General features: G+C 51.4%; 2 protein-coding genes across 8 annotated transcripts in view; both read right to left on the reverse strand.

Annotated features, from left to right (window-relative positions):
• The window catches only part of C4orf50 (chromosome 4 open reading frame 50), a 120,960-nt gene extending 112,583 nt beyond the window's left edge, over positions 1 to 8,377 (reverse strand). For 6 of the 7 annotated variants that reach the window (XM_017008893.2, XM_047415667.1, XM_047415663.1 and 3 more), the window contains exons 1-2: positions 7,976 to 8,377; positions 1,661 to 1,799 (exon numbers count right to left, since the gene is read on the reverse strand). In XM_017008893.2, coding sequence (XP_016864382.1) covers positions 1,661 to 1,799; positions 7,976 to 8,262 — 426 coding nt within the window. In that variant the 5' untranslated portion in view covers positions 8,263 to 8,377. The remainder of the gene's footprint in view (positions 1 to 1,660; positions 1,800 to 7,975) is intronic. The other variant, NM_001364689.3, reaches the window with a different exon arrangement.
• A 7,652-nt stretch (positions 8,378 to 16,029) lies between these two features.
• The window catches only part of JAKMIP1 (janus kinase and microtubule interacting protein 1), a 174,351-nt gene continuing 167,746 nt past the window's right edge, over positions 16,030 to 22,634 (reverse strand). The window contains exons 20-21 of the mRNA NM_001099433.2: positions 19,547 to 19,612; positions 16,030 to 16,109 (exon numbers count right to left, since the gene is read on the reverse strand). Coding sequence (NP_001092903.1) covers positions 16,059 to 16,109; positions 19,547 to 19,612 — 117 coding nt within the window. The 3' untranslated portion in view covers positions 16,030 to 16,058. The remainder of the gene's footprint in view (positions 16,110 to 19,546; positions 19,613 to 22,634) is intronic.

Below are 22,634 nucleotides of genomic sequence, written 5' to 3' on the forward strand. Positions count from 1 at the left end.
TTTTCCACGGAGACATCACATCAGTGGCAGAGGAGTCCCACTCAACGCCGCTCTACCTATGATAAAACTCCCCTCAGGATGGTAATGATGAGGTACTATGAGCCAGGGAGAAGTAACTCGATTTTCTGCACCTGAAGTTCAGTATAAAGGGGAAAAAAATTCCACTAGGATATCTCCCTGGCATCTCAAGGACTATTTTCAATTTAATTGGAATCCTTATCTTTCCACTTCCACTTCTATTTCAGCTAATAGCTATGTCAAGTGCTTTTCCAGCTTTTCTGAGTTTCCCACTATAAGAAACACCTGTGAACATCATGCTCATTATACACACACCTGTGTACAGCTGAAACAAGTTTCTCAAAACAGCACTCCCTCTAGCACGTGCGATGTGCTTGCATATTTCTTAGTCTATATTGATCTGATTTTAAGTGCTAGTTGTAAGCCCCTGAATCGATCTCACATCCCACAGATGGGTTGCAACCTGCAGTTTGAAAATCCCTGGCTGCATCCTAAATAGCAGCAGACTAGAACAGGATGCCTCCAGGGACAGTTGGGTGGTGCATGCAGCTACCGTGAAGTTTTGTGGGTTTTGCCTCTGCAGCCTTTCCTAAAAGTGGCCTGCCCTCCAGCCCCATCGTCCTTCCCCTGGAAAATTTTAGTAATGGCTAATAATTATAAAAGCAGATAGTGTCATTTAAATACCTACTGTTGGGAGTCTTTTACATGTATCAACTTAGCCCACACAACAATCTGAGGGGATTGGTACTATATCATTCCCACTTCACAGATGAGGAAACTGAGGCCCAGAGAGGTTAAGTCACTTGCCCAAGGTCACACAGCTATCGAGTGGCAGAGCCAGGGTTTGGCTCCAGGCCTCTGCCTCCAGAGCCCCCCACCCTTAACTGCCCACTGCTTCTCCAGAGAGCTCTCGAACTTCTCCCCCTGCCTCCATCATCTCTCTCTCCCATGCAGGGAGAATGGCATTCCCCAAATGACCATCTGACCCTGAGGCTTCCCTACTTAAGTCCCCTAAAGCTTGTTCCCCATTGTATTCAGAATTGGGCCATGCAGCGGAGTTGGCCACCTGGCCCCTCTGGAACTTTCCGACTCACCCACTCCGTCCCCAGCACGGTGATATCCTCTGTGTTCTCCCACACCTCTGTGCTACGGCCCCGTGCTGTCAGCCACGCCTCACATGCCCTTCCCAACAAGGCCCAGCTCACATGGCCTCAGCTCTCTGTAGCTCTCCTCAACTCCCCTAGCCCCCTGAACACACGCCATGGGGGATCGCACACTCCCCCATGGCACCCCACATCCGGGTTTAGAGTTATTTGTTTCTTATCAGTCTCCCCCATCTGCATAAGAGCTCCGGACCCCAGGAGCCCTGCATCAGCCAACTCCTGTCCTCAGTCTGTGGCCTGGCGCTGAGGTCCTCAGGCACAAGAGCTTCCAGCAAGTGTACAGCCCCCACCCCCACATCCCTGCATGCCCCAGGCCCCGCAGTCACGCCATGCACCATGAACGTAGGATCTCTCTAACCCTCCTGACTGGGCTCTCCCAGGCCCACCCTGTACTGTCTTTGCCCAACTGCAGCTGCTGCTGAGTTCCCACGGCTCTGCTGGACAGGAAACAGGGCCTGGAAAGGAGAAGGAAACGGTACCTGGCTGGCCAGCTCCCCCTGCAGCGCCGCCAGCTTCTCCTGGGCCTGGAGCCAGGCGCTTCTCTCCTGGGCCACGTGGGTGCTCAGCTGGTCCACCTTCCGGAGGAGTTTCCTTTCTGACAGCTCCAGCTCCTGAATTCTGCAGCATGAAAAGCAGGGAGGCACTTGCTCAGGGTGCAGTCAACATGGCCTAGGGCTTTTGCAGACACCAGGGCCAAATTATTATTATTATTGTTTTTGTCACTGGGCCAATGTGATGTTCTGACAAAATTACGTTTTGCATAATATTCATGTATATAGTTCTAAAGATCATCTATAGTACTTCAAAGACGTTATTTGAACAATTAGGTACCATGCATCAGAAATCTTCAACGTCCTCACACCGAAGCCAGTAATTGCAGATTCAGGTAATGCCAACTCAGAGCACCTGAGCTTGAGTCATTTAGGCTAAGAGCTTTAACTTGGTGGTTTCAATGAATCCTCACATTAACAGCCTGCAGGTGGGTTCTGCTACCCTTACTTCACACATGAGGAAATAGGATCAGAGGGGGCAGACTTTTGCTCAAAGCCACACAGCATTATAGAATCTAGTCAGTCTTACTTCCGGACTCAGCATTGTCAGCCTCTGCTCTGCTGTCTCCCGTTTTAGCTACATTCTTATAAACCTAAGGAAATGATTGAAATTCAGAAAAACGTTTCTGCAACTGAAAAAAATTAATCTCTGCATTACTTAGTCTTCCAGATGAGAAGCTGGAAGTGGCTTAACTGTCTATTAGGAATGGCTAAGTCACAGGAAGACTTTGCATGGTCTTGCAAACACACTGGGGCTATGTCACAAGCAGGCATAGACATAGAACCCAGACTGGATGTGAACCCTGATTGCAGCTCTGTGGGAGGGAGACACACGCAGGGTCGGGGGAGAAAGTCCGAAAAGAAAGCCCAGGCTCCCAGACCCACGGGGAGAGGAGGCACTGCAAAGACTGGCCTGTCTCCCACTGTGCCTAGTTTCCAAGTCCCCTTAATGTGTCAGTCTTGCCTGTATAATAGAAACCATGATACACGTGAAGGTGCATTCACAGCCTCCATGCCTAAGCTCTACATATCCTCACTCCTTCCCAAGTCCACGCTGGGCACCTGCACATCCAGGACAGATACTGATGCCCTGGGTGAAGAACTAGCTTTGCCTGCTGGCTCTGCCATTCACCAGCCATGGGGTCTTAACAGGGCTAGTTCAGCACTATGACCCTCAGTAACTTTATCTATAAAATAGAGGTCATTAACCTTGTTCAGTAGGTTTTCATGAAGATTAAATTATATGATGCATTATTATTAATGATAAGGCCAAGAGTCCCTCTCCTATTCCAGTTATCATGCCCTGAGGAAAGGTCTCAAGGGTGGCAGACCAGAGTGTGCTCTCTCGTGAGGATCATAACCAAGATCCTTCCAAACTGGACCACAGGAGCAGCTCCAGTTAGCCAGAGTCAGGCTGAGCACTTTCCGATGAGTTATACAATATGGGGAGATTTGCTAGGAAAAACAAAAGCCTTTCTTTCTAGTTTTGAGACCAATCTGTAACAATAAATATGAGAACAGTATTTAATTCTGATACGATTCCTAATCTTAAACGGAGCAGAAAATGACGAATTTCACTTTGGCAGGGTGAATTTTGGCCCCAAGTTCATCCAGGCCCTAATCCCTGGAACCTATGAATGTTACCTTAAAATGCAAGAGAGACTGCAGATAGGATTAAGTCAAGGATGGTGAGATGGGGATATGGATCCGGATTCACCTGCTGGTCTCTAAGACCAATCACAAGTGTCCTTGAGAGAGGGTTGAACTTAGGGACGGCCCTGTGGACACCAACACGCGATTGCATGCAGCTGGGTCCAAAGATGGAGGCGGGACCAGGAACCCAGGAATGCAGCTCTAGACCTGGAGAAGACCAGGAAATGGATTTCCCCTCCAGCCTCGGAGAGGGCTTGGCTCCACCGACAGCTCGACTAGCTCAGGAAGACTGATTCCGACTTCTGGCCACCAAGCTTGTGGTGACGTGTTACAGCAACCACGGGAAGCTAATACACTCACGAATATGACATAGACAGTGAAGGAACACTGTTCCCTGATTAAACCAGTGACAAGTGTGGATGATACTTTTACTGTGTTTTTAAGTTGTGTGTTTTTTTTTTTTTTGAGATGGAGTTTTGCGTTTGTTGCCCAGGCTGGAGTGCAATGGCGTGATCTCGGCTCACCACAACCTCTGCTTCTGGGGTTCAAGCGATTCTCCTGCCTCAGCCTCCCGAGTAGCTGGGATTACAGGCATGTGCCACCACGCCTGGCTAATTTTGTATTTTTAGTAGAGACAGGGTTTCTCCATGTTGGTCAGGCTGGTCTTGAACTCCCGACCTCAGGTGATCAGCCCGCCTGGGCCTCCCAAAGTGCTGGGATTACAGACGCGAGCAACCGGGCCGGCCTAGTATTGTTTTAAGGGTTAATTATGTTAATACTTGTCAAGCCTGTGAACAGTGGCTTGGTACTGAACAAGTACTCGGTAAGTGCTTAGCTGTTATTAATTTTACTGCATTTAGATGGGGAATAAATATGCAAAATGATAGTGTTATGAAGATGGGAGTGGGATTTTCTTCCTCACATTTCTAGCAAAGCTGTTATATTATTTTGAGAAGAAATACTTTTGTGCTTCAACTCTTTAATTAATGTGAACCCAAGACATACTATCCAGCCTTTCCCCTGCCCCAGCTAGACCCAAACACATTGCAACATTCACCTGAAATCTGTGCTCAGAATTGTGCTTTCAGACCCTGGCCTCAGCTTTTAGCAGCCCTGGATCACTTAGTATTTCATCCCTCAGCCTCAGTTTACTCATCTGTCAAAGGAGATGATGTCACCCCATGCATCACAGGGTCCAAAGGAGCCAAGATGGGGCAAGTATGGGAGGGCCCAGCCCTGTGCCAGCTCCCTTTTCTCCTCCCCTGACCCCTCTTCTGCAAGATGGTGTACCCCATCTTTAAAGAGAACAGAGGACTCGAGCCCACATCCCCCCACAGGCCCAGTCACAGAGGCCCCTCCTCCCTATGGCTCATGGTGTCCCCCTGGGAATCTCTGTCTTTCCCTCCCCCATGGAGGGGTCTCCTTTGGTTGGAGTTCCCTGCCTGTCTTCCTGGGGTCCATTGATCTTCTGGTTTCCACCACCAACCTTTCTAGAAGATTTGAATGTACAACCCTGTATGGGCCTACGCTGCTAGTCTCTCAGCCCAGGGCCCTGCCTTCCCCAACTCTCAGCACCCAGGACTTCTGTTATGGGCTCAACACATCCCTGCATCCTGTGTTGAAGGCCTAACCCCCAAGTTCCTTAGAATGTGATTATATTTGGAGATAAGCCCTTTCAAAGAGGCAATTAAGTTGAAAGAAAGTCATGAGCGTGGGCCCAGATCCAATCCGACTGGGGTCCTTGTAAGAGGAGGAGAGGAGGACACAGACACACACAGAGGGATGACCATGTGACGACACAGGGAGAAGGTGGAGTCCACAAGCCAAGGAGTGAGGCCTCAGGAGAAACCAATCCTGCCGACCCCCCGAGCTTGGGCTTTTGGGATCCAGAAATGTGAGAAAATAAGTTTTTGTTAAGTCACCCAGGTCTGCAAATAATGCCATTTCATTATAATGTTGATGAGAAAAAAAAAGATTCCCAGCCAGGGCCACTGTCTATGTGGAGTTTGCCCATTCTCCCCATGTCTGTGTGGGCTTTCTCGGGGTACCCTGGTCTCCTCCTGCAGCTGTAACACGTCACCACAAGCTTGGCGGCCAGAAGTCGGAATCAGTCTTCCTGAGCTAGTCGAGCTGTCAGTGGAGCCAAGCCCTCTCCGAGGCTGAAGGGGAAATCCAATTCCTGGTCTTCTCCAGGTCTAGAGCTGCATTCCTGGGCTCCTGGCCCTGCCTTCATCTTTGGAGCCAGCTGCATGCAATCCCACACTGGCGGCCACACTGCCATCCCTAGACTCAACCCTCTCTGTCTCCCTCTCGCAAGGATACTTGTGATTGGTCTTAGAGACCAGCCGGCGAATCTGGGTCCATATCCCCATGTCACCATCCTTGACATGTCGACATAGTCCCAGCCTGCGTGAGTGTGCGCGTGGGTGTGAGTGTCCTGTTCAGGCCTTGCACCCTGAGCTGCCGGGAGAGGCCTCAGCCACCTGTGACCCTGAACTGGAACAATTGGGTAAATAATCATCTTACTTGTGTTTTTTTGAGTCTTTCTTAAATCTAAATTTGTTTGAGCCTTTCACATTTATTTCAATGTTTAACATTAGAAGTGTTTGGGGTCTTTATCTCAAAGTTTGGTGATGTTTTTGTGACCTGAAATATGCTGTAGGAACTTAACTCTTATTTGTATCAATTAGCCTATGGTCAAATTAGTTTTGTGGCCAGGTGTGGTGGCTCACGTCTATAATCCCAACACTTTGGGAGGCCAAGGCAGGCAGATCGCTTGAGGTCAGACGTTCGAGACCTGCATGGCCAACATGGTGAAACACTGTCTCTACTAAAAATACAAAAACTAGCTAGGCGTGGTGATGGGCGCCTATAGTCCCAGCTACTCGGGAGGCTGAGGCAGGAGAATCGCTTAAACCCAGGAGGTGGGGTTTGCAGTGAGCCAAGATTATGTCACTTCACTCCAGCCTGGGTGACAGAGTAAGACTCCATCTCAAAACAAAGCAAAATAAAAAACAAAAACAAATTGGTTTTGTTGTAGGTTGCTTCACTTAGTCACAGTTTCCAAGGGCCTATAGACAACGTTCAGTGAGGACTTACTGTGCTTTGTCATGGCAACCCAGGCAAACTAACATAACTTTGTATATGACTCTCGGAGGGTAAGTGCGTTGCAGAATGAATGAAAGAATGGGCAATCACATAGAGTAACAGAAGAATTTTTCTGATTTGTGAATTTCTTCATGCATAAAACTTTACCAAAAGGAAGAAAAGTAAATCACATGTGCATACACGTTCAATGGTCTGCCTTTACTAAATCAAAGGCAAGTACAAGAAAATGGGGAAGTCCCGCAAAAATCCAAGGCACGTGGCTGCTGGGATATGAGTAACGTGTCAGAATCAATCCCCGCTGTCACTGCATTGTGCTTCCATGCTGGGTTTCGCTGATCTATATACAAGGCCCAACCTCGTTCTGCCAGTCTGGGTGTCAAGACATCGTCAGGAAAGAAGATGGGCTTTAGAGAAAGACCTGGATTCAAACGCCCCACCTTGAGGCCAGGTCAGCTCCATCAGGCAAACAGTGCCCACAGCAGGAAGTTCTACAGAGAGAAACGAATGCGGAGAACCTATTTCAAAGATGACAGCAGAGTCCAAAGGCCAGACAGAGACAGGCAGCCTGGATTAGCAACTGCCGGAAGCCACTTCTGCCCCTGGGGCTGGACAGCCACACAGGGAAGAGACGATGTTACCAGGGCAGGGCAGAGCAGCCAGGCCACCCAGCGGGAGCTGGGACCGCAGAGGAAGCCGAGAGCACATCTGAGTTACAGCCACAGTGGGAGATGTCACTGTGGGAACAAGAGTGACTTTATTTTAAACGCTAATCCAGCAGGTGACTCTTGACTAACCCTGAGTCCACGAATGCCTCCAAGATGTGGAGTTGATATAGTTCTGTTTACGTAGAAACACCTATTCATTGTGAGTTTCCTCCAAAACAACCCTTGTCATTGCAGAAACCATAGGCTGTGATGCCTGTAGCCACCTATGCAAGCCTTCCAGAGCACACATGCTTTTTCCCCAGGATATAAGCCCTGGGTTGGGGATGGAAGGTTTGCTGTGTGGACATCTACTTGTCTGGCGGCTGCCTAAAACCATGCTTCTGTCTGCCAGTTCCCCTAAAAAAATCACCCCAAACCGACCAACTGGATTTGTCTGCCTCTGTCCTTGGTTTCTCAGTTCCTTCTACACTTCCCTGTCACTTTGAACATAGGGCCCTTTCATGGAACAGTCACCCAGAGAAGAAGAGAGGGAGAACACCTGGCTTCTCCCTGCCTCCCTCCGTTTCAGGGCCTCCCATTGGCTGCACCTAAATGGAAGCCTTTGAGCAGAGGAGCCCGGGCAGCCTCATCTGCAGGTACAGAGCAGAAGAAGGAGGGCGGGAGGAGCAGAAGGCAAGTGACTGCGTGGGCAGGTTACGTGTCTTTGGTGAGCCAGTTTCCCCAGCTGTGTGGTGTGATTCAACACACCATGGTGACACACTCTGATGGCCCCGCGGTTTGTGAAATACACACAGAGAGATCAAAATGGCATCGCTACCTGCTTCTCAGCCCGGACTCCGATGTCACGTACTTGTCCTCTGCTGCTGACAGCTTCTGCTCGGAGGACTCCAGCTGCCTCCTGAGCGCACCCATATCCATGTCTGGGCGGCCAGCTGCTTCTTCCTGAAGACATTCCCGCTCCTCAGCACTATCTTCCATGTCCTGGAATATCCAGGATGTGTCAATCTTCACATCAACGTTCATTATGTCGAACCCCTCACTGCTGGGGGCTCTGATGACGTAGCTGAAACTCTCCTCAGTCCGTCCCTTGGCTGTTGGCTCCATCTCAGAAATATTTCATGGGGCAAGACTTAATAATAAAATTAAGTGAGTTTGCAACATTGACTTCCCGGAGATTTCAAGGTGGTGTTTGTGACTTCAGATTGTTCAGGAAAATATCCTTTGAGAAGGGCAAGAACAGGTGGATTATTCATGAGTGGGTGACTTGGGTTTCATCTGCACAAGCGTCATACAATATGAATGAAAGCCTCTCGTTTTACAAGTCAGCATGCCAGAACTCACGCAAAGCAAGAAAAAGTTGCAGAAAAATCACTTGAGATGAAATGCCTAGTGATGAACACAGAGAGGAAAAATAAGACCTCCAGGTAAGGCCATCAGATGTTACAGACTCCCAGTAGTCAATGAAGCTTATCTTTTTACCACATAATGAATAAGGTTCCACACCTCCTCTTTGAGCACAGCACATATTTTTCAAGGACCTAGAGTTTGCTAGGGGAAGAGGATGGGAAATTTATGCTGCCCTGGGTGCCGTCTGCATCCAGGGCAGGGGCCTCTCATGCCTTACCTAGTCCAATTCTCCCGGTGACCTTATGAGGTGGGCGTTAACATGACCATTATACAGATGGTCAGACGGAGGCTCTGGAAGGTGAAGGAGCTTATCCGGGTCCCACAGGTGGGATGGGAAGTAGCAGAATCAGGATTCAAATATGGATCTGACTCCCAAACTGGAGTGTGTGTGTTCTGACACAGGAGATACAGTAATAGGTGAGCAACAAGACCCCAGAAAAGGAGCAAACGCATCCTTTGGGCACCCTGAGGAGGGGGAGCGAGCATGAGGCTGAAGAGATCGTAGGAGGAATGGGGAATTACAGCAGAGAGAGGTGGGGAGGAGACTCCCCCAGGTGGGGAGCATCCTCAGGCCACAGACCCGCACAGACAGGCAGGACAAGTGAAGGGAACAGGAGGACCAGACAAAGCTGGCCCCGTGGACACACAGAAGGAGGAAGTGAGGAGTGAGGACAGAGGAGGCTGGGTGCCATCTTCTCTCAGGCACTCAAGGACTCCGGCGTTTCTGTGGGCCCCTGGGAGAAGGGAGGTGCCTGGTCAAATGTCATTTTGAGGATCGAGCACTCTGGGGTTTGCAGGAGCGAGATGGAGGCAGCTGCACCTGTAGGAGGAGGCAGCGCCACAGGCCAGGCCTGGTGCAAAGAGGCGTCAGGACCAAGACAAATAGAAAATGAGAGGCTTCCGTCTCCCTGTTAAAAATAAGAGACGTCCTCCCTCCCTTTTCTTAAAGCATCTACTTTAGAAAATGTGTAAGTTCTTTCTTTGTCTCTTTGAAATATGTGTAAATCCTTTTTACAGCGAAATAAGCCTTTTCCAGCATTACGACTCAGGAATGTTTCCCTGAAGGACCTGGGCACCGCCTCTTTGAGATGTAAATTCGAAGGAAAACAGCGCCCCTAGTGTTCAGTGGGAGGAAGGAGCCGAATTGGGCAGGCGCCTGGCTCCGAGATGCAAAACCTGTCACAGTAAGTGACAGAAGGGTGGAACCCAGGTGCAGGAGAAGCTTTTTTTTCCTTTGTATAAAACAAATTAATGAACACAGAGGGTTGCCCTCGTTGTCAGGTGAGTTTAGGATGAACCATGTGAAACAATGACGCTATCGAGTCCTTTTCCGCAGGGATGAGAGAGGATGTGTGCATGGATTGTGCCTGCCTGGCCATATAAAAGGGTGAAACTTCTTACTGTCTTTGCAATCTCTCAGTGGGTTACCTGTAATGCACCTCATATCTTGGTTTAATGCTTATTCAATAATAAACCTTTTTTAAATTTTCTTTGTGATGAGGTTTTCTGTGCTGGGAGAAGCTTTTGTCTTTAATCATATTTTCCCAACAGTGGCCAATGTCTTGTTGGCCACAAGGGGTTTCCGTGGACCTGGGGCAGTTGGAGGCGGGGGATGGGGGTGCAGTGGAGCCACTCAGATCCCAGGCGCTGGGGCCAGGCTGCCTGGGTTCCAGGCCTGTCTCCATCGCTTCTCAGATGTGATTTTGGACAAATTACTTAACTTCTCAAAAAAAAGAGGGTAAAGATCATGCCTAAGTGAAGAGCTGTTGAGGAATAAATGAGTCGATTCCTGCAAAGCCCTCAGCAGAGCACCTGGCACACACTAAATACAGCATGCTGTCTGCTGGGTAGGGGGCAGACGCAACACTGTCCAGCTGTGTCCAGTTTTCACGCCTACTTGCCGCATGATCCTAGGAAAATGACTCGGCCCCTTGCAAAATGAAACTGACAGCAGTCCCCGCTCCCCACTGTGGTGATGACTGACTGAGCTCTGGGGCGGTGGTGGGGGGTGGTGGCTGGTCCTGTACCTGCACCGCACCGTGAGCTCCCAGGAACATCAGCCAAGAGGAGCCAGTGCAGAGTGGGAGGACTGAGTGACAGCTGAAGGCAATAGCAACAGACTGAAAAATTACCCCAGGGCCACCAAGGAGGAGGAGCTGTTCCAGCCCTTCCTTGGGAGCAGCCCTGAGGGAGGGCACGTCCTTCCTTCTTGCCTAAGGACAGGGAAGCAGGCAGGGCCTCTCCTGGGGAAGTGTTCTCAGGCTTTTTAGGTAAGTGACGGAGGCTCTTGGGGGAAGAAGAAGGTCAAACAGAGAAAATCGTGGCCTGCCCATGGTTTACCAACATCTGTGGTAGCCTGGGGTGGAGATCTGAGCCTGCAGGCCCCTCAGAAGTGGTAGGGCCTGGGCAGGAGAAGGGGACAGATTGATGTGCAGATGTAAGGATGGGGTTCTGCCCCCTTGGGATCCTCAGGGAGGTTCCCTGAGACTGAGGGTGGTGACAGGGAGGACACAGGCCATGGAAGAAATTAAGAGTCCCCGTTTCTGCTGGAACAACAGCCCCTGAGAGCTGGGGGGAGGCTGGGAGGAACGGAGGGAGGTCTGGCCGTGTGAAGACCTGGGCTCCACCCTACTTCAGAGCGGGAATCTGGGGCATAGAGAAGGGCCCTACAGAAAGCCCCAAGAGTCCAGACAACTGGGCTGGGGGGAAAAGGACCCCCCAATGGCACATTCGCTATTTCCCACCCAATTTGGCACATCCCTGGCAAACCCTGTTTAAATGTGAGAACATAACCAAATATCAAACTGGCCATTGTTTGTCCTGGGAGTATCAGGCAGGATTGCTACTGGTTACAGAGGGGTTATGGCAGGTGAGGGAGAAGCAGGGGCCACAGTCCTGGATGCTCCCGGCAGATAGAGGAGCAGCGGATGGGGGCAGATGTTGAATTTACTTGGGAAGGATGGGGAAGCTGGAGCTGAAGTGGGGGGTACAACCAGCCAGGGTAAGCCTTGCCCCTGACCAGGGAAGGGGTCCACCCGCCCACATGTTTGTATTCCTCCCCTCCCCTCAGGGCCCAGCACCAAACTGGGGGCAGGCTGCATAGGATCTCACACCCTTGAGCGTGAGCTGACTCTCGGGGCATCCGTGTGAAGCACAAAGCCCATTTCACCTAAGGTGCTCGGCACAGGCACTGCGTGCTTCAGCCAAAACACCTGCGACCAGCTGGAGACCTGGAAGGGAAGTGGGGTTCAGCGAGAAAAGCCTTGCACCCATGGGGGAACGCCCTCCCAGTTTGCCCAGAGCCTCCTCCATTTTAAAACAGGAAGTCCTCTGTTCCCGGAATCCCCGCTGTCCTGGACAAATCAGCCTGGCTTATCCCTGCACAGCCGATCTCCTGGCCCCAGCCCCGGCCTCCACTCCTCAGCCCCCAGGAGGCTGCCAGAGTGGCGGGACAGAACGCTGTCTGATCCCTCGACTTCTACGCCCCAGCTCCTCCCTGGTTGCCTTTGGCCTACAGAGGATTGAGGTGTAAGAGAGAGAAGTGGAAACCTATGTTTGTACCACGGACATCTCTGTGCCAGGAACATTCAGGGCTGGCTCTCTGCTAAACCTCCCAGCTGACCTGTGGGCAGGGCTGCGCTAAAGGGTGGAGCCACACTTCTCCTTTCTACCTGAGGAAGTGACCTGGGGTTCCCCAGACTTTGTAACTCTGCTGCCCTGGAAACCACATATGTGTTACTAGGCAACAACATCCAAAGCCGTGGCAGATGTGCCTGACCTGGGCACAGGGCTGTGGATGAGGGGTGAGTGCACCGGGGTGCAGCACAGCTCTGAGGCTCCCTGCATACTGGGGTCCTTGCAACCAGGACTGTGCCTAGCAGGGAGCCGGGAAGCCACGGCTGGGACTGTGACAAGAAATGCTGGTTCCTAACAGGGACTTTGGATTTCTATGCAGGGAAACCCCCGTACCTGCCAGTGTGAGCCTCATGCTTCCTCCTGCGCCGCCTCCCGGAGGGCAAAAGAGAACGGGTCCTGGGCCCGGGCCGGCCACATGGACTCCTCCGAGGACAGCTCCCAAGGAGAGAACAGCAGATGCTATGTCTCCCACCAGCAGCCACGGTGGCCTGTGGGAGCCTGCGGGTCTAACCGTCCAGCTCAGACCTCTCCCAAGGCCACACATGGGAACTATCACTACCATTCCTCAGAGCGGCAAGGACATTGCCAGTGCAATACAGCAGGAAGAGGCCGGGCTGGCAGGGACAAATGGGTCTGACCTCAAAGCCAAGGCCATTTTGGTCGCATGATCTGAGTGGGAGAGCCCAGCAGACACAGACACTGCCCTTCACCCGCTGAAGGACGGGGACAAGCAGGTATGAGGACCGCACTCCTGCAGCGGCTGCAAGGGTGCTGGACCGACATTCCAGAGACCCATGGGTGCCCCTAGACTTCTGCCCGCAGAAGCGAGCACAGCGACGCCTCCTGTGCTTCCCGGCCGGAAAGAGTAAGCGTGCCTTTGTTTTCACTCACTGTGCGACCCCACACTCCCATCGCCCCTGGGCTGCTAAGATGCCTGTGTTTTCAACCGACATCAGTTTGTTCATATTTCATCACCAGGTGTTGGTAAGTCACAGAGGCTGAGCCAGTGGGTGCTTTGGGGTTTTGATTTCAAAAGAGAATGGGTAATACTGGGCCATCCCGGTGCATGTCTGCTTAGAGATGGATCCTGGGATGTGGTGTGAGCAGCCCTCCCTGGCTGGCAGGGCCCCTTCTGTGCAGGGCACCGTGTCCTTCTCCATCCATGGATCTGGCCTTCTGAGAACTTCTAGCTCCTCTGTTGCCCTCACCCCATGAGTTCCCTCAACTGCCTACATTTCAGTCCTTTCCCTTTTGTCCAAAGGTCCTCCTCACCAGAGACCACAGAACCGTTCCTTCTACCTGATGAGCAGGGCCTGAGCCCGTCCACCTGCAGCCAGCTGAGGATGGCCCGGCCTGGCCTTCAGCCGGCTCTTCCCATGCAGACACAGCCAGCCTCCTCGTCACATTCAGTCTTCTATTTCACTTCATCCATTCTAATTCCAAACGTCTTCCCGCGCAGAAGTTTGGGAGAGGCATCCTGTGAGCAGGTGGCTTCTTCTGGAGATGCCTCCACCCCACCCAGCCTAGAATAACAACAGGAACATCATCAGAAAGGAACTTGGGGAATTTCCTCCTGGGCTGACCATCCCCAGCTGGCGTCCAGCTCTCTGTGGCTGCTCCACTCCACCCACTCTCCAGCGAGGCCTCCAACACCCTGACAGCTCTCCCAGCTCCATCCAGGGGTGGCCTCCCAAGGCAGGAAGATCTCACTTCCTCCCCGCGGTGGTGAGAGCAGGACCTGGTCTCGGGACCACTATGGAAATAACCTAGTTCCTGCAGGTGCTTCAGCATCTCTTCCTCGGCAGCCCCTTGCAAATTACGATCAAGGTGCAACGCAGGCCCAAGTGTGGCCTGGTTGGTGGTCATGTCTGCTCTATCAGTCCTCAGTCCACCTGGTCCCAGGGACAGTCATGCTCTGGGACTTTTGCCGTGTCACACCTACAAGAGTGACAGAGCCCTCGGCCTCCCTTCAGAAATCTGGGGTCCCTGAGGTCGGCTTCTCCATGATGGGCAAGGCTCCAGCCACTCATCAGGGTCCTGCCCTCTCTCTCTGGCTGCCAGCTGCTACATCCAGCTGTGCACAGATTCAGAGGTTTTGCTGACCAGGACTTGAACTGGGGTTCACATTACAAGGACACTTGCAAGTCGCTCCGGCAGACAAACTCCAGGACGAACACAGCACGGTTCGTGGAGATTTATGTACATAGGGCAGAGACGGCACCCAGCCGGGTCCAGCTGGACATGCACACTGCGGACTGGGGAGGCATCTGGCGTGGGGACGAGGACTCGGGCCTGTCCCCAGACAGTGCGGTGGCTGCCGATCCCTTGGTTTCTGGTAATTGCACTTAGTTTCCTGGCATTCAGGTCTCTGCCCCCTTGGGCCTTCAAAGTGCCAGAGCTGGGACATGGATGTGGTTCCAAGTTTGACAAAATCCCCATCGTCCCTGCAGAGTCCTTACGGCTTGGGCTGGCCAGGACCCAGCCGTGCGTCCAAAGGCTTCCCCTTAAAGCTATTGTCAAATATACATAAATTCTGTTTGCAGTCTCTGGACTTTGAGTAGCTTGTTTCGCTGTTGAATTTGGTTTGAGTGGGGTTGGGGTTGCCGTAGGGACTCAGTTTATTCCATAAATTCTTTTTCTATCCTGTAAGATTAAAACATAATTTGAAATGACACAGGAACCAAGGGTTAAAATGGCCGGAGGATCCCTTGGCTTTATCTGCCCCTTGCCCCCACTGCTGTCATAAACACCCCAGCTGAGCCCTGAGGGACCTTCCCCCCACAATCCAGGAGAAGCAGCAGCAGCAGGATCAGATCCCCCATCCCCCAACACCCACCCACCCCTGTGGCCACCCCCACCTCTGCTCAGATGGGACTGAGTGTCAGCTGTCCTCTAAGACCTGAGATCCTTCCTTTACTCAGTCCATAAACATTGAATGAATATCGACCATGTGTCCAGCACTGTCCCAGACACTTGGGTACAGAAGGTACCAGACCAAAGCCCTTGTGGACTGGGGTCAGCCTCAGGGACGCCTATGAGGACATCAGGCAGGGCCCTGGCCTGGGAGCTCAGCCTAAGGGGTCCAGGTAGCTAGTGGGTGCTGCAGGCATCCCCAGAATCCAGGGGGCCCTCAGCCTGGGCTGGATTCAAAGACAGAACTCTAGAGTCTAGGGGTCCTGGCAGCCCCCTGCTCTGAAATGGTCACTCTCAGGGAGAATGTGCAAGTGTCCAGGTGTCTAAGGTGGGAGCTGGGTCCTGGGGACACACAGGGCTCAGTGGTCAGAGGAGGACCAGACGCTGACATGGCCTTGTTCCAGAGGTCCCTGAGCATGGCACAGGAGTCAAAACCCAGCACAGGACAGGGGTGTGACGGGGAGGGAGCTGAGTGGCTTCTTACACAGGCTCCCTGGGCACTTTGCACGTAAGTGGTAGTCTAGGCTCAGGAGCCGTTTCTCCAGCAACCTCCTGCTCCTGTAGCCCTCGGCCCTGGAAGCCAAAGACCCTGGACCCTACAGAGGACTTACTGGTCCACACAGCAACAGAGAGCACCAGGGACTGAAGCCAGACTGGAGAGAACCTTTGGAATAAAACACAGTCCCCCTTTGTGGATGAAACTCCACAGAGGAGTTTCTTATTCACAGTGAGCGTCCCTGATCCCCCTCCTCAGGGCGGGTCTCCCCCCATGACCCAGACCCATGAGTTAAAGCATCCAGCACAAGGCCACCTTCCACGGTGCCTCATCTCTCAAGGAACTTGACAGTCAGGGACTGGGAGGACTCCTCCTGTTTTAGAAAATCATCATTTTCATCTGCGAAAAGGAAAGGATACCAACCCGAGTTCTTGGCTCACTGAAGTCATCAAGGCCACAGAATGAATGCTAGTGAGAAAAACAAAAAAAGGAACAAAAACTATAAAATAATACCAAAAGAAAATGAGGAAAAGAGAAGAAAAAGAAAAGAAAACAGATGTAAGATATGTAGTATGGAACTCAATGACAGCATTTTACAAGAACTAGGACACTGAGTTGTTGGGTTCGGAAAGAGAAATGGGAAGTAAACAGGCTTTAGGAAGTGATCTCCCCTGGGAAACGCATCCTGGGGTCTTCCACACTCAGGGTGGGTTATCCCGACCCACTCTCCAAACATGCAGCTAACTCATTCAGGGGAGATTGACACTCTGGACCGGGACAGGACTTTTTGGTGCTGTGATGTGGCCTTCATGCAGAACTTGGGCAGGCCGGTATAAATAGAGGAAGGCCCAGCCGATGGTCATGGTCAGCGGCTCCCACCAAGAGACGGGGGCGTGATGTGTGCACCGAAGATCAGGGTAAATTCCACTCAAGGTCACCCAGTCCAACTTGCAGACAAGTAGAGCCCTTCTGCCTACACCACGCTTGCCCAACCCTCTACCCACAGGCCCCATGTGGCCCACGGCAGCTTTGAATGTGGCCCGACACAAATGTAAACTTTCTTAAAACATTATGGAATTTCTTTGCATTTTTTTTTTTTTTTTTTTTTAGCTCACCAGCTATTGTTAGTGTTAGTGTAATTTATGTGTGGCCCAAGACAATTCTTCCAATGTGGCCCAGGGAAGTCAAAGGATTGGGCACCCCAGCCCTACACCATCTTTACCAGGGTTCTTTCTTCCAAGAGAGTCGCTATTTAAAATCTTTTGTGCCATTTGATTAGTCTACTTATACAGAGAAAAAAAAAATCAGGGAAAGACGGTCTTAACGGGAGGAAAAATTAAACACACCGACTCAAAAGTAGAATTTTTTTCTTACCCTTCTCAGGACTTGCTTTGTTCAAAAGGAGTTGCAAGTCATTAGGGGAAACATATCTGAACATCAACTGGGGCTTTTGAAAATAATCCTTGAGTTCTTCTCCCCCCCAAAACAAGGTAATATCTCCCTATATTATTTATTGGAAAAGTCCAAACTAACAGCCATCAACTTCTAAACGAGGTGTAGGATCATTGGAAGTCAGAGCTAGAAGGGGCCTTGAAAGTCACCCAGCCCTTCATCTTCCACATGGGGAAACTGAGGCCTGGGAAGAGGGAAGGATTCGTTAAGACCATCCAGTGGGGGTGTGGCAGGAAAGAGTTTCTGGCAATGACGAAGGGACCAAGGGGCCAGGGATAGTGGTGGCTGGAGCTATTTCCACGGTCACAGGCCCCGATGCCTGTAAGGAAATGAAGGTGGCATGAGGCATCTTGGAAGGTTTCCAGCCCTACAGGCCTCGTCAGGCATCCATCCTGGCCAGTTCCTCCTGCTCTGCATGCCAGCTTCCGCAACTCCCTTCTGTGGCAAAAGGAGACAGACCAGTCCCCAAACATAGGCTTTGAGAAAAGAGTCGAAAAAAGAGCCAGAAAGACGATTCCAACATTTCCCAGGTATTCTCACTGCCGAGGACATAGTGAGTGTTATTTTAAGTGTGCGCTCATTCCACCTGACTTTTAACATTTTAATCAGCAAGGATGACCTTGGGCATGTTTTAAGCCTTTCTTTTATCATATCTGGCTCTGTGACTCATTTTACCAACACAAGTGGTAGAGCTACCTGGGAGATGGGAAGAACCGGTGCTGCCAGTCCACACGCCTTGCCTGGGCCCTGGGCTGCGAACTTTCATATCCCCAACCTCATTTTATCCCTACATCCACCCTCAGAGACAGAGCACCATTCCTAGCAGCACATGAGAACACCAAGGCCTGAGGCAGAGGGGTGAATTCCGTGGGGCAGAGGGGTGAATTTCCCAGGCTCTCTGGGCCTACCTGGGCAAGGCCAGAGGAGAGCCCAGGCTCATCTATCTGCGAAACCAGCTCATCCCTCAAGCAATTCTTAAATCCAATTATACTTGAGACCCCCTTGGGTTCTCAGAATATCCTTGGGAGGCTGGTAGGCGTGGGCATCTGGCAGACGGGGACTCTAGGAATCAGCTAAAACTGGGGTTCCCATGAGAGCAACAAGGGAACTGGCAGGCAAGCCCTGCCCCCGCCCCTGCGCACAGATCCTCGGTCCACTTGCGACCCGGCAGGGCCCTACACCTCCAGCAGAGATGGGAAGGTGATTTCATCTGCATGGAGCCGACTGTCATGAGAGAAGGGAGAGGAAGCATCTGAAACGGAGGTGGAATCTTAAGTGCTGTCCCATCTCTCTGGGCACATGGTTTGATTCCCTACTGGACTGGAAAGGCTGTCATCCCATTTTTGGACAGCCCTGGAATCTGCCTTCCAGAGATTTCTGCCCTGGTTTGTCCCTGAAATAAGTCAGCTTCCTCTCTCACAAGACCGGCCTCAGACACATAAAGCCCAGAGATGCCCCTTCTACCTCCTCTTCCCAGGGCTGATCCCACAGTGTCCTTTGAGATTCAGGTGGGACCCCCTCTTCGAGCACAGGCATGCCGGCCACGGACCTCCTGGATGGGTTCAGCGGCTCTCCATCTTGTTGCCACACTTGAACTTACCTCTGTGACATTAAATAGGCAATTATTGTTTTTCTGTACTCATCTAGAATCATTTGCGTACTCATCCACAAACATTTGATGATACCCTATCCTGTGGCAAGAACTGTCTTGAATGAAGAGATGCACACCACGTGGTCCCTGTCCTCAAGGACTCACAGCCATCCGGTGGAAGAAGATGAAGGGCAATACCATGATAAAACTGCTTTGTGTGTGTCCTGAGCCAGACTCATGTGTCTGCCTGGACCAATGTCATATGGAGGGGCAGGATGGGATGGCTATGACATCCATGGAGAACCCAGCCATCCCTTCCTAGCTGTGGGACCATGGACAGGTGTCCTAATCTATCTCTGCCTCACTTTCCTCACTCATAAAATGGGCATCATGGTAAATGGGCTGGTGGAACATACCCAAAGCCCATTGAGAGGCCAGCCTCACGTCTTCTGGGATGGGAGAGGCTGCGTCTTCCAGGAACATGCGACTGGTCTGGGGCTCATAGAAGGTATTTAAAAAGTGAATGAGTCCATGGAGGAGAACCTGTGTCTGTGGTTAGGGGGATGCCACTGACCTCATCGGGCTAATGTGCTTCACCTCTTTCCTAGTGAGACAGCAGGGGAGGGATTCAGGGGAAAGTCTTTTGTGAAAAAGACACACAGAGTTGGCCCCGGCCTGAAGAATTTTTGACAGCCATTGAGAAGGAAATGCCTTTACCAGAAAGGAATTTTGAGGAACTAGCGATTTCCATGAGATGCTGATTTAGGGGAAGAAGGGCAGAGAAAGGAGGGCTGGAGACAGAGTCTATGCTTTGGACCTTATGAAATAAAATGATTCCGCACTAACATTTCATGGAAAGAAACCTGGGGACAGTCTGAGCTGCAGTCACCTACCTTTTCCTCCAGTTCTTTCAGGTGCCGCTTCTGAAACTCCAGTTTGTCCTCCAGTTCTCGGATTCTCTGAAATACACCAGGTTACGTGTCAGAAAAAGTAAGTTTTCCAGGTTTAAAAACTCTGTTTTTATTTTTTATTGTGGTCTAGCACAGAAGCTGTAAAGGATACCAACACTGTGGGCAGCCTGATGAGCTCTGATACATGCACAAGCCCATGTCACCACCGCCCAAAGCAAGACAGAGAGCATCCCAGCTCCCAGGAGGCCTTGGTCCCCCGGCTCAATTCCAGCTCTGCAAAGGAATTCTGTTCTGACTTCTATCACTAATAATGGATCGTGCCTGTTCTAGAAGTTTCTGGAAATAGAATTACACAGTACACATTCTTAAGAGGGGATCTTTTAAAAACAAAACATCGAGACTGGACCAAAACATGTAGGCACCCTGAGCAGCTAATAAAGGTCATGGGTGGGATGTGACACCACATCACGTACTTGTCTAAGATTTGTTTAACTGCAGCCTGGGGGATGGGGGGAGGGAGGGAGAAGGGCAGAGGAGGTCAATGCTGGTGGGAGCCACTGCACCAGCATCCGCCCTGCCCTCTTAGAACCCCACTCAGCACGTGGTACCAGGGTGACCGACAGACCCGGTTTGCCCAGGACTTTCCTGGTGTGAGCCTCAGGAAACCCCTCAGTCCTGGGCAAACCCAGACTCTTAGTTACCCTCCTTGGCACCGCACCTGCAGAATTAATTCCCTGGGTGGTTTACCGATCATTCCTTCCCATCCCACACAGCGTCTCCACCGAGGGAATCTGGTGAACTCCCCCGTTTCCAGATCTTCATGTGCTCACAGGGCTTCCGCCCCATCAAGGGCCCCACCAAGGTGGGTACCCCTGGGGCAACTCTGCCCAGCGGGCTGCTGGCCCTTGTCTGCCCTGAACGGGATAGAGACCTCATACAATGAGACAATGCTGGGAGGCGGAAGGGTGGACGATTTCAGCCAGCAAAAATTAAACATGGGGTCACCATAGGCCTTTATTCAGGCCCAGAGAAGCCATCTCACATTCCGTAGGGCAGTGATTCTCCAGCCTGTGTCAGCATCACCCAGAGAGCCTACTCAAATGCAGATTGCCAGGCCCTGCCCACAGAGCTTCTGCCTCAGCCCAGCTGGGGTGGGACCTGAGTGAAAGTTGCACTCCAGCATGCTCCCAGGTGATGAGGACGCAGACGGTCCGGGGCCCCTGCTTTGAGAACCACCACTGTGGGCACATTTAGTCACTCAGTAAATAGGACTCCATATGCCTGGGCCTGTTCCAGTCCTGGAGAGAAAGACAAAGTCCCTCCCCTTATAGTTCAATTACCGTTCAGACAATAGCAGCATACACATAAATAGAAGGGGCATCAGATGAATACAAACACCATCAAGAAAACCAAGAGGGGCTGGGCACGGTGGCTCAAGCCTGTAATCCCAGCACTTTTGGAGGCCGAGGCAGGTGGATCACCGGAGGTCAGGAGTTCAAGACCAGCCTGACCAACATGGTGAAATGTCTCTACTAAAAATACAAAAATGAGCCGGGCTTGGTGGTGCGCTCCTGTAGGGAGGCTGAGACAGGAGAATTGCTTGAACCTGGGAGGTGGAGGTTGCGGTGAGCTGAGATCGCGCCATTGCACTCCAGCCTGGGTGACACAGAGAGACTCCATCTCAATAAATAAATAAAGAGGCATGAGGAGGGGTGAGGTATCGTGCCGTGGGCTGGAGGAGACGTGGAACCCAGCAGGGTTAGTTCACCAGATGCACAAGAGGGGAAAGGAATTCCAGGCAGAGGGAACGGCATGTGCAGGAGGCCAAGAGGCCTTTGGTGGGGGGTCGGGGACAGAGCTCAGAGGGTCTGGAATGGCCCATGTCCCGATGAGGTGCTCACAGCTTTGGGGTTGCCATGGGGAGCCAGTGACGGGTTCTAAGCAGGGAAATGATGAGCTTTTGATTTCAGGATGATCACGGGGCAGCCAAACAGAATGGATTCCACGAAGGAGACAGAAAAAAAGATGATTCTCTCAGATCTGTGACCTTGGGCAGTTATTCTGCCTCCCTGAGGCTTGGTGTCCTTATCTATAGATGGGTGCTGCCCACATCTAAGGATTTAACAAGCAAATTTGTACCAAGTGTTTAGAGCAGAGCTTGGCATTGAGCACTCCATATGTTATTTTTTTAAACTGATAATTTTCTACTCTCTCCCACCCGAAGGGAACTGTGTGACCTCAGTCTGGTAGTGGCAGGAGTTTCCTGGCAACCCCCTCACATGCAGGGCGGCCGAGTGCTGCTGAGTAAGCAGGGCATGTGGCCTGAACCCGGCTTGAATTCTGGGCCCCAAATGTAGCAGCTGTTGGGCTCTGGGTGAGTGACATGATCTCTCTGTGTCTGGACCCCTCTGCTGTAATGTCTGTGTGGGACCCCATGACACCGAGGGTGAAATGGGATCTGCAGGACAATGCTTTGTAATCTAATGTCTGGCTTTACAGCTTCCAAAGAACATCTGAGAATCCCCCAGGAACAACTTCTGGGCTTTAAAAATCAGCCTGACAACCTGGTTCTCATTCTGATCTTTCTTGATATTCACGCTTAGGAAACAGTCTCTCATCAGAGTGTGGGAGGCCAGAAAGAGCAGTGGGTAAGAGTTTCCTCATCTGATGACCTGGGTTCACAGTTGAGCTCTGTTGCTTCCTGGCTGTGTGACCTTGGACAAGTTGCTTACCTTCTCTGAGCCTCACTCTGCTCCCCTGTGAAAAATGGCATCAATGACCTGTCCTCAAAGGACTCGTGTGAGTTTCATTCAACCAATGTCCACTGAGCCCCTTCTGTGGGTCAGCCCCAGTCTGCCTCCCTGGGCTGGAATATTGCCACAGCACCTAGAACAGTGCTTGGTACACGAATGTTAGAACAACACAACACAAAACAAAACAAAACAAAACAAAACAAAACAAAACAAAGCAAAACACAGCTCCATGACGGCCAGCAGGGGCAACTCTGAGAGAGGTGGACAATGCAGCTGTGGCAGTTGGAAGGGGCTCTAGAGGGCTTCGAAGGTCAGAC

This window comes from Homo sapiens, chromosome 4 (assembly GCF_000001405.40).
Source record: "Homo sapiens chromosome 4, GRCh38.p14 Primary Assembly".
Lineage (NCBI taxonomy): Eukaryota > Metazoa > Chordata > Mammalia > Primates > Hominidae > Homo > Homo sapiens.